Consider the following 15,933-nt stretch of genomic DNA (forward strand, 5'->3'; position numbering starts at 1 on the left):
GAGTACCTACGTGGTCACAAGGAGAAACTGTTCTAAGGCTTTACAAATGTTAACTCGTTTAATTCTTATGACATTTCTAAGGGCATTATGAATAGTAACTCATTGAATTCTTACAACTGGATGAGGTAGGTGCTGTTATGATGCACGTTTTACAGATAAGGAAACTGAGGCAGTGAGAGGTGGAGTAACTTGCTTAAACGGTGCTCACTGTGTTATTAAGCCTCTACTGTGTACCAGGTGCTGTGCTAGACAGAGCAGTGAACAGGACAGACTTTGTCCACACCCTGGGGGAACTTGGCAGAGGAGACAGATAATAAACAAGCATGATTGTTTATAAGTTCAAAGCGGAAAATAAGCCTGCTGCTTTGATGGAAGGTGGGGGTATGGGGTCCCCAAGATTGAGCGAACAGGTGAGGCTCTTCTGAAAAGGTGGCCTTTTGCTGAGACCTGAAGTACGAGGAGAACCCTGGATTTGAGAGACATGACTGTCATTTGCCTGGGCTGTGCCCTCTGCCTGGACTGCCCTCCTGCTTCCGGCTTCTCTATGCCAACCTTGCCTTCACTGGTCCAGGTCTGGCTGGGCGGCACCTCCTCTGGAGGTGGGAGGTGAACTGGGGGCTTCCCCAGCCCCAGAGGGAATCTGTCCTCCCCCTGGTCTTTTCTATCCTCCTGGTTCCCAGAGCAGACCTTAAATAAGGGAAGCCTCCATGTGACTCAGCGGCACCACCTGTGCCAGGCTCTGTGCTGGGATCTCACCCAACCCCGAGTGGGGAGCATAGTTTTCTCCTGGGGAGGAGATAGAGGCTCAGAGAGGTTAAGAGACTTGCCCAAGGATGCACAGCTAACAAGTGTTCAAAGGAAAATCCACACTCAGGACTACAGGCTGTCTTTTGGTGACTGGTTTACCTGCTCACCTGCCTGCCTACCCTGGGCACCTCTCGAGGGCAGGTCCTGGGTGCTGGAGTCAGTTCTGTGTACCAGCATCGCCCAGCCCTGGGTCTGGCCTACATGGGATGATTTTCCCTTCACCAGGCTGAGAGCATGAGACATGAAGGACTAGGCCAGGGCCCTGGGGGCTAGCTCTACCCCAAGGGGAAGGTGGACACGGGCCTGAGCCCCTAGGCTCCCAGACAGACCCTGTGCTGGCTCCCGCCCTCTGTCCCCCTTCTTCCCTGGCCCAAACTGGCATGGTGCCTTCCCTGGCTCTCTTAGGCTGCTCTGCCCAGGGCTGAGAGGGATGCAGGGGCCCAGATCCCTATCCCCAGCAGACAATAACCTCTGGGGCCACTGAGCAGATGGGGAAACTGAGTCTCAGCTGAGTCAAGCCTGACACAGTGGGGGTGGGGTCAGGGTCCAGGAATCTTGTGGGTTCACAAGCACAGGCACAGAGGCGGGAGGCATGTGCACATGGACACGCTTGCTGTGTACATGAGGCTGATGTGAGCCAATGAGGACACACCATTGGTGCAGATGGCACTGGGAACACAGCCGCCCACACACGCCCATGTGCACACGTGTGCATAAACAACCGTGAGTGCCTTCCTGGTTTAAATCCCACTCTACTTCTTAGTCTTGCTGAGATACCGCACTTCCCTGGGCCTCAGTGTTCAGATCTAGGAAATGGGGGCATAGATTGAAGCCTGGGTAGGCTCGAGCCTGGTTTAGCCATCCTGGCCCCTTTTCTGCATGGGGCCCGGGGACCTGCCCTGGAGGTTTGAGGAGAGGGTTCAGTGCGGTGGTCTTCCCCATGCCGCAGTGGACATTGGGAGCCCCCTTGGGGCAAATGGCCTGTGTCACTCACCACTGGGCTGGCCCGGACTCTGCTCCCCAGGCTGGTTCCTGGCACTGACTGGCATAAGGCCAGGCTGCCTGGGTACTCAGCTCCCATGCTGGCCACAGGGGCTCCACCAGGCGTTGGGACAGAGAGGTGTCTAGAAAGTTCTGCCTTAGACAAGGGGTGCCTGTGTGCATGAGGGGCAGGCTCCGCTCAGCTCCCCTCCCCGTGACTCTCTTGCTGGGGGACTTCGTAGGGTGGAAGGAGCCCAACACCAGCGTCCCCAGGCTGGATTCAAGGCCAGCTCCACGCTCTGGGGCTCTGAGGCCTGGGAGCCTCGGTCTTCTCATGTGCAAAATGAAGAGCATCAACCCACCTGCCGCAGGGACAAAACAACAGCATAGTGGCTGGCACACAGTAGGTGCTCAACAAATGCCAGCTGTCTAGCTGCAGACTACGGTCACAGTTTCATTCATTCATCCACTCATTTTGTTATTTATGTATTTGAGACCGGGTCTTGCTCTGTCATCCAGGCTGGAGTGTAGTGGCGTGATCACGGCTCGTTGCAGCCTCGACCTCCCAGGCTCAAGCAATCCTCCCACACTTAGCCTCCCGAGTAGCTGGGATTACAGGCGTGTGCCAACACACCTGGCTAATTTTTCGCATACAAAATCCCTTCTCGACGAAAAATACTCCTGGGCTCAAGCGAACTCCTGGGCTCAAGCGATCCACCCTCCTTGGCCTCCCAAAGTGCTGGGATTACAGGCATGAGCCAGTGTGCTTGGCCCCATCATTGATTTAACCTGTATTTATTGAGACCCTACTATGTGTCAGGCCCTGAGGGGAGTGTTGGGATCACATCACAGAACAAAGCGGACAGAATCCCCGCCTTCCCAGAGCTGACAGTCTAGTGGGAGAGATGGGCATTGAATGAGTAAACAGCATCATTTGAGATTGTGGTAAAGGAAATGAAGCAGAGAGCTGGGATGCGGGGTGACCAGCAGGACAGCCAGGGAGGGCCTCCAAGAAGCAGGCATGACCTAAGAGAAGGGTGCTGGGGGTGGATGAGTGGTAAAGGTAAGGGCCCTGAGGTGGGAACAAGCTAGGTGGGTCAAAGAACAGTAGGGAGGCCACCGTGGCTGGAATAGGGAGAGTGAAAGGGAGAGGGCTGGAGAGAAGGGGAGGGAGTGGACCCTGCGGGGCTTCGAAGGCAGGAGTGAGGAATTTGAATTTCATTCCAAGGGTAATTATTATGAACAAAGACCAAAGTTATGAATGACTACGAGACACAAAATGCAAACTCACTGTGATTCACTTCCAGCCCAGAACTTGGGCACTTTGGATCAGGAAACTTAAAGAAAAGCACCTGCACACACAACTTCTCTGTGGCTAGTTTTGTTTATTTCTTGTAGAGATGGGGTCTCACTACATTACCCAGGCTGGTCTCGAACTCCTGGACTCAAGCAATACTCCCACTTTAGCCTCAAGTGCTGGGATGACAGATGTGAACCACTGGCCAGGCTATGACGTTCATTTTAGAAAGAAATACAAAGGTAACAGGCCTTTGCCATTTGTTGAATGTAAATTCAGAGCGTTACACACAAATGCGAGTTTGTTAGTTGCAAAGGCAGTCACGGTCTCTGACTTCAGTGCTGGTTGTGAGAGTGAGGTGAGCTGGGGAGGGGGCATGATATCACCAGCCCGGATTTCAACAGTGCAATGCCAATTGGGGAAGGCTTGGGAGATCAGCTGGTCCACCCCACTGACTCCCAGATGAGGAAACTGAGGTCCAGACGAGGGGAAGTGAGTGGCCAAAGGTGACACTGTGAGTCAGAGGCAGATGCGGGACTTGAACCCAGGTCCCCTGACTCCTAACCCAGACTTTCTGAGAAATGAGTGTCTTGCCACGTGCTTCCCCTTTGCCCTTTCCTCCTGGACAGTGTCAGCTGTCCTTGGGGCCAGGAAGGAGACATGGAGGCCAGGGGTTTCTGGTGGACCCCACCACAGGGCTTCTCATCTGAGGCACCGCTGGGATGTTAAGCCGGATGGTGCTTTGAGGTAGAGGCTGCCCTGTGCTAGGCCTTCAGGCCATTTTTCAGACAGGATCGGGACTTGGAGACCAGGGCCCAGGGATGCCGCTTGAGGTGACAGAACTGGAAAAGATGAAGGGAAGAAAGGAATGTAACCCACATTGAATAATGAAGCCTGACGCTTTAACCCTACAATGGCCATTGCTGGATGTTGACGTAAACAATAGGTGTCTACAGGATGAATTAGCCAAACGACAACTCCGGTGTGAGCAGAACGGGCTCATTGGGTCAAGACACAATTCCACCACAGAACGGGTTTCACAAAGGACCATGTCCCATCAACTCAGCAATGAAACCATCGTGGTCTGGAAACCTGAGATCAGGACCCACAGAATGACTGGCGGAATGACAGACCAAATGTGGAAGATGTTCCAACCAGGTGTGAAAAAGTCATTCTGTGAATTATGAGAGTGTGGGAAAAACATACTCACTGGAAAAAAAATCCAGTTGTTAAGATAGATTGTTTATTTATTTATTTATTTTTATTTTTTTGAGACAGAGTCTCTCTCTGTTTCCCAGGCTGGAGTACGGTGGTGTGATCTTAGCTCACTGTAACCTCCGCCTCCTGGGTTCAAGCAATTCTCCTGCCTCAGCCTCTCGAGTAGGTAGGACTACAGGCGCAGTGCCACCATGCCTGGCTAATTTTTGTGTTTTTAGTAGAGACGGGGTTTTGCCATGTTGGCCAGACTGGTCTCAAACTCCTGATCTCAGGTGATCTACCTGCCTCAGCCTCCCAAACTGTTGGGATTACAGGCGTGAGCCACTGCCCCCAACCAAAATAGAGTTTATTTATTTATTTTTTCTTTTGGGATGGAGTCTAGCTCTGTCATCCAGGCTGGAGTGCAGTGGCGTGATCTCAACTCACTGCAACCTCTGCCTCCCAGGTTCAAGTGGTTCTCCTGCCTCAGCCTCCCAAGTAGCTGGGATTACAGGCACAAGCCACCGCGCCCGGCTAATTTTTGTATTATAAGTAGAGATGGGGTTTCACCATTTTGACCAGGCTGGTCTCGAACTCCTGACGTCAAGTGATCCACCCGCCTCAGCCTCCCAAAGTGTTGGGATTACAGGCATGAGCCACCGTGCTCGGCCGATAGACTTTATTTTTAAGAGAAGTTTTAAATGTACAGAATAACTGAAAAGATTGTACCTTATGACCAGTTTCTCCTATTATTCATGTGTCACATTAATTTGGTAGGTTTGTTACCATTTTTAAATTTTAAGTCTTTTGAGGCAGGGTCTTCCTCTGTTGCTGAGGTTGGAGTGGCACAATCATAGCGCACCGTAGCCTTGAGCTCCTGGGCTCGAGTAATCTTCCCATTTTAGCCTCCCAAGTAGCTGAAACTATAGGCATGGGCTGCCATGCTCAGCTGACTTTTGTATTTTTTTTTGTAAAGACAGGGTCTTGCTATGTTGTCCAGGCTGGTCTCAAACTCCTGGCTTCAAGGGATCCCAAGTACTGGGATGACAGGCATGAGCCACTGCGCTCCACCTTTATGTTATAATTAATGCACCAGCGTTGATACATTGTCGTGAGCTAGAGTCCCATAGCTTATTCCGACTGCCTTAATCTTTCCCTAATGTCCTTCTTCTGTCCCCGGAGTCCATCTAGGGTATCACGTGACATTTAATTGTCATGTCCCTTTAGGCTTCTCTTGTCATAACAATTTCTCAGACTTCCCTTGTTTTTGATGACCTTGACGGTTTTGAGGAGTTCTGGTCAGGTATTTTGTAGGATATCCCTCTATTGGAATTTGTTTTTTTTTTGTATGACCACATTAGGGTTATAGGTTTGGGGGAAGAAGATCTCAGAGGTAAAATGTCATTTTATCACAGCGTATCAAGTGTACTTACTGTTAATGTGACTTCCAACTGTTGCTGTTGACATTGATCACCTAGCCTGAGTAGTATTTGTGAAGTTTCTCCACCATCAAGTTGCTATTTTTTCCTTTTTCCACACTGTACTCTTTGGCAAGACGCTGCTGTGTGCAGCCTGCGCCTGAGGTGTGAGGAGTTATCTCCCCTCCTTTCCACTGGAGCATCTATGTAAATTATTTGGAATTTTTCTGCATGAGAGATTTGCCTCTTCATTCCTATCCATTTATTCAATATTTTATTTATATCAGTACAGACTCACGGATATTTACTTTATTTATACTTTGGGTTATAATCCAAGGTTGCTTTATTTATTTTCTTGCTCAAATTCTGCTAACTTTGGCCATTGGGAGCTCTTTCAACTGGCTCCTGCCCCCTTCCACAGACCCCTATCAGTGTAGTTTTCTTGAAGTCCTTTCATATTTTCTGGCACTACAAGTTGTTCCACATTCAACTTATATATTTCCTGCTGCAGTCTTAGAATCAGCCATTTCTCTAAAGAGTCCTGGTTCTTTTTATTAGAGAACGGTATAAGAAACCAAGATCTGGGTGCCGGGTGTGCTCATGGCTGCTGGGGTATCATTTCTTTTAGCCCTTTTCAGCTGATGGAGCAAAGAAATATCTGTGTGTATACTAACCTGTGTATAAACACACAGTTATCAATATTTCCATGTGTAACTAGTTATATTCATGTTTAGCTAAACATGAGTTTATATTGATGTCTCCAGAATCCATTATATGTGATGAATTTAATCAATTAATTTTTTTTTAAATATAGGGTCTTGCTTTCTTACTCAGGCTGGAGTGCAGTGGCATGATCACAGCTCACCGCAGCCTCCAACTCCTAGGCTCAAGCAATCCTCCCACCTCAGCCTCCTGAATAGCTAGTACTACAGGCAAGCACTACCACATCTGGCTGATTTTAAAATATTTTTGTAGTGATGGAGTCTCACTATGTTGCCCAGGCTGGTCTCTAACTCCTCGCCTCAAGTGATCTTTCTGCCTTGGCCTCCCAAAGTCCTGGGATTACAAGTGTGAGCCACTATGCCTATCCTATAATATGATTTGAAATAGTGGTGCAACACTAAATTCATAACCTTATTTATTACTACCTGAACACTTATTATCTGACAAGTACTTTCTAAGTGCTCACCACACATGATCTCCTTTGGACTGCATGACAGCTCTAGACACTGGTTCTCTGTTCATCCCCATTTTACAGATGAGGAAATGCAGACACAGATAAGCTATATATCTTGCCCAAAGTTTCTCTTCTAATAAGTGGTGAAGTAGAATTCAAACCCAGGTTCAGTCGTGTCAAACATTAAAATGTATCTATATTTCACATTAAATAGAATTCATATACAGCTAAGAGAAAAAGGTCACCTTATGGTTGACTGGTTGACGTAGTATTATAATCACAGTATTTCGCTTCGATGTTCTGATTTCCCTGGGAGCCAATAAATTTGTGTTTTAATTCTCAAAGTTTTCTGCCTGAGGCTGTGTTGTTGCTAATGGCCAGTGGATGAAAGAGCTCTTAGGCTGTTCCCAGTCCGTCCAGCTGCCATGTTGACTCACCGTCAGTCCCTCCCTCCAGCTAGCCCCCATGGGAAATTCACAAGGAAGCAGGGTCTTCTGGGGAAAATGTCCCAGGCAGCTCAGATCCCCGGAGGGTCAATGAGGGAGGGACAGGATGTGTAAGGGGAGGAAGTGGGGGGTGCGAGAACGGCCTTGGTGCTCTGCCCCCTAGGTGTTCCCAGTGTGAATCTGGTCTGACCTGCTGTGCTTCTTCTGCCCGGGCTTCTTGAAGGAGGCCTACCCTGACCCCAAGAGTGGCCTCTGGGTGACCCAACCAAAGGCCCCTCCTGCTTCTTCTCACATAAGGTCCCCTCCTCTCAAACCCAAGGCCCAGCCTCTTCCACCTCCTCCAGGAAGCCTTCTCTGTCTACCCCACTCTCAATAATATCCTTGTTCCCCGAAATAAATATCAATCCTGGACCAAACGTCTCACACTAGCAGCCCTCAGATGTACTTTTTAGGCCTGTATCATGTTTTCTAAACTTTTAATTTGACTCCCAGCATTGAAAAGCAAGAGATTTCACCTAAAAATGTGAACACACACCCTCTCTTACAAATGTGGAAAGCCTGGCATCCCCTGGCCCTCGTTCCTTCTGGTGAGCCCAGCCCTGCGCCTGGCACACAGCCTGGGTGCACCAGCCACAGCCTTCTTGGAGCACTGGCTTCAGAGGCACGCAGGCCCGATTTGCCCTTCCTGGCCATGGGACATGGCAAAAAATGCTTCTTGTGCAGCCTCAATTTCCCCATTTGGAACCAGGGCTTAAAACAAAACCTCCTTCATGGGGTTGTTGGGAAGAAGAAATGAACTAATAGGTGGAGCGGGCTTAGCACGGGCCAGGCATTCAGAAGCCTGGATTAATGATATTTCGTTTTCTTGTTTTCCTTTTTGTTTTCTTGCTTTGGTATCTCTCATTTCCTCATGGTCCTATCCTTCCCCACTCAGTCTGTCTGTTCGTCCATCCATCTGCCATTCTACAAATGCCTACTGTGTTCCGGGCACATGGAGGATCCAGTTGTTCCCCTCGGAAAACCCCTCTTCCTGGTCTGCCTGAGCAGAGAGCCATTTCATCCACACATGCATTCATTCACTCATTCATTCAAATGCTCACTGAATACCGACTGTGTGCCAGGAATTGTTCGGAACATCAAGGAAACAGCACTGAACGAAACAGACAAAAATCTCTGCTGTCCTGGGGCTGATGTTCTACTGGTGGCAGACAGACCATAAACCAATTATAATGTGAGGTAGCACTAAGTGCTGGGAAGAAAAATCACAGATGTGGCGGGGGCAGCTGCTTGGTCAGGAAGGCCTCTCTATGAGCAGGGAGGGGGCCGTGTGGCTGGCTCCAGGATAAGAACATTCCACGAAGAGGGAACCAGTGCAAAGGCCCTGAGGCGGGTGCGGGCCTGGAGTGTTTGGGGGCAGAGCGTGAGTGGAGGGGTGTGAGTTACGTATTTCCGTGATGTTAGAATTCCTCTCCTCCCTGTCATTCTCTTCCCCCTCCTCTGCTTTCTCTCTCTCTCTCATTTTTTTTAAAACAATGAGTCTCTTAATTTTGTTATCAGATACACAAGGACAATTCATAAAAATAGAAATAATATCTGGGAAGCGGTGGGCATGCCATTGGCACACAGGAGTGGCGATGGCTATTCTTACCATTTCTTCTCATTTCTGGCAGGAATGAATCACTTACTTCCAACGTTTCCTAAAGAGGCAATGGGCTCCTGGGCCCTTTCTCACTCGGGAGGGCCTTTCCTCTGCCCCATCATTCTGAGGGTTTCTGGAAGGTGAGTGCGTAAGATGTGTGTGTCTGTGTGTGTGTGTCTGTGTCTGTGTGTGTGTCTTGCCAAAGAAGGGTGCTGTTGCCTCTTCCCCTTCGCTCCCCTCATCTCCTCTTTTCTATCTTCTGCCCCTTTGGTGGAAAGAAGCATCCAAGCGTGGGGAGCCTTGTTTCGGGGCCACTGAGAACTTGCTGAGCTGAGCTTGCTGAAGCTTACGATAGCGAGGCCAGGGTGGGATGTGGCTCATTGTGTCAGAAAAGAGGTTCATAGAACTCTTGAGAATGGGAGTCCTAGAAATAGGGCCCTAGGCCCATCTGAAGTCTTCTCACTTGTCCCCAGAGCTTCAGGCTCCTTCCTGTCCCCCCACCTTCCTGGATGCTGCCTGGTCTAGCCCCATCATCCTGCCTGCGCCATTGCAGTCACCTCCTGCCTGGGGCCCCTGCTTCTGCCCTGGGCCACCCTGCCTGTTCCTCACACGCAGCCAGAGGACCCTGCCAGAACCAACTCAGACCCTGTCCCACCCCTGCTCAGAGCCCTCCCAGGGATCCCACCCCACTCAGAGGCCCTGTGAGGTCCTGCGAGGCCCTGCGTGTTGGCTCCTATCTCCTCTCTGAGCTCACCTCTCCCACTCACCGCCTTGCCCTCTGCCCCCTTGCCCAGCCACACTGGCCTCCCTGCTACGTGACAGGCTCCTACTCTAGCTTTTGGACCCTACTGCACCCCTCCCACCCCAGGGACCTCTGCCCCTCCTCTTGGGGTCAGCTGGGCAGCCTGCCCTGTACTCCCTAACCCCCTCCAACCCCAGGAGTGGGGCTTCTTGATGCCAGCCTCCAAGCCCTTTATCACGTGTCCATGGGCAGTGTTCTGAGGTGTCAGCCCTAGAAAGGTTGGCTGGATCTGGGTGCACTGTGGTGCCCCAGTGCCTGGAACAGTGTTGGCTGCCTGGAACAGTATTGGTGCACAATATGCAGTAGGCATTCAATTAGTGCTTGCTGAATGAGGGAGCCTCAGCGTTTTAAAATCAGACCTTGAAAACGTTGCAAAGTTCTTAGAATCCCAGGCTTGAAGAATTGGAGACTGGGAGGCAGTGAGGCTGGGTGAGTCTGGAAGGCTGCGGGCCCATCTGCCCCATCCTGGTCGGCTGTGTGTGTGTCTCTCTTTTTGAATCTGTCTCTGTCTTTTTCTCTCTCTGTCACTGTCTCTTTCTGTCTCTGTCTTGTTTACCTCCTTCTCATTGTTTCTCTGTGTGTTGTCTGTCTCTGTTTCTGTCTCTCTCTTTTCTCTGCCTCTTCTCTCCTCTCCTCTCCCCACAGCTTCCTTCCCTGCCCCCCTCCTCCTTTCTTCCTCTCCTGTCTCCTCCCATCCTCTCCCCTTCTCCTTTCCTCTCTCTCTTTCCACTGTTTTTTCTCTTCCTTTCTCCCCACTGTCCCTCTCTGTATCTCTCGTTTCTCTGTCTCGGTCATCCGTGTGTCTCTCCTCCTTGCTGTCATCTTCTGTCCCTGCCTCCATGGGCACCCAGCCAGCTTCTGCTGTGGAGCGTTTTTCTGCCTCTCTGTCCTCCATCTGCCCCACCCAGGGGCCCTATCCAATTGTCACAAAGGCTAGCCCATGGCCAGTCCTGTGAGGGGCTGGTGCTGGGCGTGGAAGCTCTTCTTGACCTTCTTACTTGTGGCATGACTCGAAAAGTTGCGAACCTTTCTGCTCTCTGAGCTCTGATTTCCTTGTCTAGCCAAAGAGAATAACAATTTCTGGTACTTCCTTGATTTCTATGCTAAGTACATTTATTATTTCACTGGCTCGTGGTGAAGCTTGGAGAAGTTTATGGGTGGGGAACCTCACCAACAAAACCTCCATGGCAGCAGAAGCAGGCCTTGCCAGGAGCTGACCATGTGCTGACCTGGGCTGGGCATGTTCCCTGGCTGGGGCATGGCCGCTGTCTGTCCTGGGCTCAGCACACAGTGGTCTCTTTCTGCCCAGCCAGGCCTCCTTTCAGAAACTTGAACTCATTAGGCTGCCTCCAGCCACAGGGCCTTTGCAGGGGCTGTTCCTTCTGTCTGGGATGCTCTTCCTTCTATCTTTGACCTGGTTAAACTGGGGCCTTCTTATTCTTCTGATTTGGGCTCAAACATCCCCTCTTCCAGGAAGCCCTCCCTGATGACACCCCCCCAAGTCAGGTCACCTTGTTAACCACTTTCTATCCCTTACCACAGTTATAATTATTTATTTGCTCTCAGTCCCCACAGGGCTCCCCACCCCATCTTCTGGGCTTAAGGCTCCCCAGGAGGGAAGTTGAGAGGTCCAGGCCCATGAGTCAGCAGAGCTTGGCTTCCCCTCTTAGCACTTTCTTTGGGGCGGTTGGGGCCTGGCCTCCTCCAAGGGGGACTAAATTCAGGGGTGACTAGGTGGTGGGGAGGTGGCCAAGTCCTCTCTCCGCCCCCTACCCCAGCTGCCCAGCATCAGACAACTTCTCTCTGCTTCTGTGCCAACACCTGCCTGAGCCACTGTTGACACACTCACCTCCCCCACCCCAGCTCCATTGCCACCTTCTCCTGGGGAAGCCAGAGGGAGCTTTTCATAATCTAAATCTGACCTCCAACGGCCGTGCTCCAAACCCTTCCATGGCTCCCCGTTACTCTCTGAATAAAGCCCCAGCCCCTCAGCCGGCCTCCACGCCCTCTGTGGCCTGGCCTGGCCTCTTCCCCTTCATGTCCCAGCAGCCCCCAGCTCCCAGCAGCTCCCTGCCCCCAGGTCTTCGTGCTTGTTGTCCCACCAAATGGATGAAAGCCACCTGTTCACTCCCTCACCTCCTTCAAGCCCAGACATCACCTTCCTAGCGAGGCCTTCCCTGACAGCGCTTCTTAAAATTGCAGACTCCCCACCATCTTTCCCCTGCTTCCCTCCTTTATTTCTCCCTAGAACCCCAGCCTCTGGGAATAGGCCATAGAGTTTATGGATTCATTTTGTTTTTCGTCTGTCTCCCAGACTAGAATGTCAGTTCCCCACGGGCAGGTGCCATTGTTTCTCCTCTTCCTTACTGTGTCCTAAGGAAGGAGTGAGCGAGGCCTGTGTGGCTGTGGGGTCAGATGGGCTTGGGTTCAAGTTCTGGCTCATTCACTGCCTCACTTTCTCTCCTTAAGAGCTGAGTAAACTCTTGTGTGTAAAGTGTCTAGTGCCTACACGTGTCTAGAGGAAAAAAAGCCAAAATGAGAACTCGTCACTCATGATTTCGGGGAGATGGGTGATGCTGCTTAGGCCTGGCCACACCCTGGTGTTGTTACCCGGCCATTGAAAAGTATGACCCGCAGCCCTCCCAGGACCCTTCTGTTTCGTTTGTTTGCTTTTAAGTATTATTTGTTACACAAGCATTTTTTTCCCTCTAGATTTTATTTTTAATGAAAAAATTCAAGGGAAATTAGTGTATGTAATATTCCACCCTTGTTTTAAACAGGAGGTGGAAGATACATGTGTATGTTTTTAAATTGAGGAAAAATTCACATAACATAAAAGTAACCATTTAAATGAACCATTGGCCATTTTAAAGTGAACAATTCAGTGGCATTTAGTTCATTCATAATGTAGTACAACCATCACCTCTATCTAGTTCCAAAACATTTTGTCCCCTCCCCTCCCCTCCCCTCCCCTCCCCTCCCCTCATCTCTCCTCTCCTCCCCTTCCCTTCCCTTCTTTTTTATTTTCCAGTCTCATTCTGTTGCCCAGGCTGGAGTACAGTGGTGTGATCTCAGCTTAGGGCAGCCTCAACCTCCCCAGGCTCAGGTGATCCTCCCACCTCAGCCTCCTAGATAGCTGGGACTAAATGCACATGCTGCCACGCCCAGCTAATTTTTTGTATTTTTTGTAGAGGTGCGGTTTTGTCATGCTGCCCAGGCTGGTCTCAAACTCCTGGGCTCAAGTGATCTGCCTGCCTCGGCCTCCCAAAGTGCTGGGATTACAGGCATGAGTCACTGTGCTAGGCCCCAAAACATTTTCAATCACCCAAAGGAGACCATGTACCCATTAAACAGTCACTCCTCATTCCTGCCTCCCCCCAGTTCCTGGCAACCGTCAGTCTTCTTTCTGTCTCTATGGGTTTATCTATACTGGAGACTTCATATAAACAGTATCATACAATATATGACCTTTTGTGTCTAACTTCTTTCAATTAGCCTAATGTTTTTGAGGTTCTTCCACGTTGTGGCATGCATCAGTACTTCATTTTTTTTTAATTTTTAATTTTAATTTTTTTGAGATGGAGTCTCACTCTGTCGCCCAGGCTGGAGTGCAGTGGGATGATCTCAGCTCACTGCAACCTCCATCTCCCGGGTTCAAGTGATTCTCCTGCCTCAGCCTCCCGAGTAGCTGGGATTACAGGCATGTGCCACCACGTCTAGCTAATTTTTGTATTTTTAGTAGAGACGGGGTTTCACCATGTTGGCCAGGCTGGTCTCGAACTCCTGACCTCGGGTGATCACCTGCCCTGACCTCCCAAAGTACTGGGATTACGGGCGTGAGCCACTGCGCCCCACCAGTACTTCATTTTTAAAAAATGATCAAATACTGTTGTATGGCTAGATCACATTTTGCATATCTATTCATCGACTGATGGACAGTTGGGTTGTTTCCACCTTTTGGCTACTGTGACTAGTGCTGCTATGGTAATTGGTATACAAGGGCTTGTTTCGTGTGTGTGTGTGTGTGTGTGTGTGTGTATGTGTGTGTATATATATATATATTTTTTTTTTTTTTTTTTTGAGAGACTGTCTCGCTCTGTCACCCAGGCTGGAGTGCAGTGGCATGATCTCGGCTCACTGCAACCTCTGCCTCCCGGGTTCAAGCGATTCCTGTGCCTCAGCCTCCTGAATAGCTGGGATTACAGACGTGCGACACCATGCCCAGCTAATTTTTGTATTTTTGGTAGAGGACTGGGTTTCACCATGTTGGCCAGGCTGGTCTCAAGCTTCTGGCCACAAGTGATCCGCCCACCTCAGCCTCCCAAAATGCTGGGATTACAGGTATGGGCCACCGCTCCTGGCCTTGTGTGGGTATTCTTGAGTGAAAAATACAAGATGCAGAAAAGGATGCCCAATGTGATTCTGATTTGTAAAAGGAATGACAGATAAAGAAACCCTTTGTCCGGGCAGACAGTCTGTATGGGATTTTCATTCTTACAGAAAAATAGGTAAGAATCCATTCTCAATGGTCACCAAGGGAAAAAAAGAAGGCTTTTGCAGAAAAGTAAAAATGAAAAACCACAACAGTGCACACACAGTGGCTCCATGCGGGCATGTGAGACACACTAGACTGAGTGATTGTATGTGCAGATGTGAAAAAAACAGCAAACAACAAAATCAGCCCCGAAACTAGTCTCTCTAGGAGGGGCTGGGCAGGAGCCTGGTCAGATGGAGAAACTGAAGTTGGGAAGAGGGGAGGGAACTCCTAGGAGAGAGTGATCTCCAAAAACTGCTCCCCACCCCTCCTTTTTAACTCCCTCCCCAAATACCAGGTCCCATTGGAGCCAAATTTCCTCAGTGTTTTGGAATCTCAGACCCGCAGGCAGGAGACAGATTCTTCCCCATGGAGGATGCGGTTGGGTTTTTAAGCTCCTGTAGATTGAGCACTTACTACCTGCTAAGTGTTTCACCTACCTTATGGCCTGAGTCCTCTCCCAGCCCCTGAGGAAAAGCTATTGTTCCCTTATTTATTTATTGTTATTGTTACTTTTTATTTATTTACTTATTTTTTAGATGGAGTCCCGCTCTGTTGCCCATGCTGGAGTGCAGTGTCGCGATCTGGGTTCGCTGCAACCTCCGCCTCCCAGGTTCAAGTGATTCTCCTGCCTCAGCCTCCTGAGTAGCTACGATTACAGGTGCCCACCACCACGCCTGGCTAATTTTGTCTTTTTAGCAGAGACAGCGTTTCACCATGTTGGTCAGGCTGGTCTCAAACTCCTGACCTCAAGTGATCTTCCCACCTCGGCCTCCCAAAGTGCTGGGATTACAGGCGTGAGCTGCCGTGCTCAGCTGCTCCCCCATTTTTTTCGTTCAGGAAAGCAAAGTTCAGAGAGGAGTAGGTTTCTGTGCAGGGCGTGTGGCAGAGCTGGACTTGAACTCAGGGCGGAATCCTTAGCCATGGTGCCCCCTGCCACATGGTTCGGCTTTCCTTCATCTCTGCTCCCCAAGATGCCTGGCTCCAGCTGAAGATCCAGGGTTCCCAGGTTCCTCTTCTGGGGACAGGTCCTCCTTCAGCCTGACCTGAGCTCTGCCACTTCCACCGGCATGAACTGTAGCAACAATTTGGCTACCCGGGCCTCATTCTCTCCATCTGGAAAATGGGCACAGCATGTGCCTTTCTGCACAGTGAGGTCATGAAGGATTGATGAGGCAACACGCAAGGAGCGTAAGCCTAGGGCCTGGCACCCAGGAGGCCACCCCAGTGGGCCCTGCTGGGTTTCCGATTTCCCCTGTGACACCTCCTGGGGGCCGGATCCCCAGCGGGAGGAGGGATGAGGCCTGGGGGGCCTGGCTCTGGCACAATGCAGAGCATTGAGCTCATGCCAGCCTTGGCTTTGGGTTTGGACAAATACAGTAATCTGGGCAGGACTCACACAAAGACCTGGGGGCCAGGTCAGGCGAGGGGCGTCAGGTTACCCCTGTGGGCTGCAGCCACACAGGCGGCTTGGGGGGTGTATTTTTTTTCCCTAAAGATTATCATTAAATGAGCCCTCACCGAGGCCTCAGCAGGCAGGTTTCATTACAGGAAAAACTGAGGTATAGGGGTTTGCAGGCCTAACGGGACACGCTGTCACTGTGATAGGAACAGCATTAGCAATAATAACAGCTG

At 50.3% G+C, this 15,933-nt stretch overlaps 1 long non-coding RNA gene across 1 annotated transcript, besides 1 other annotated feature; it reads left to right on the plus strand.

The window, feature by feature from the left end:
• The first annotated feature begins 3,309 nt into the window (after positions 1–3,309).
• On the plus strand, positions 3,310–14,882 carry LOC105372656 (uncharacterized). The gene is made up of 3 exons (XR_936835.3): positions 3,310–4,243; positions 8,994–9,102; positions 14,838–14,882. It is a non-coding gene; the product is annotated as an uncharacterized LOC105372656 (long non-coding RNA).
• Positions 12,854–13,054: a silencer, noted in NCBI's record as "peak4248 fragment used in MPRA reporter construct". NCBI's record gives its function as "represses an SCP1 promoter by STARR-seq MPRAs in K562 erythroleukemia cells {active_cell/tissue: K562}" and the evidence as "EXISTENCE:reporter gene assay evidence [ECO:0000049][PMID:32103011]".
• Positions 14,883–15,933: the final 1,051 nt, after the last annotated feature.

Source organism: Homo sapiens, chromosome 20 (genome assembly GCF_000001405.40).
Source record: "Homo sapiens chromosome 20, GRCh38.p14 Primary Assembly".
NCBI lineage: Eukaryota > Metazoa > Chordata > Mammalia > Primates > Hominidae > Homo > Homo sapiens.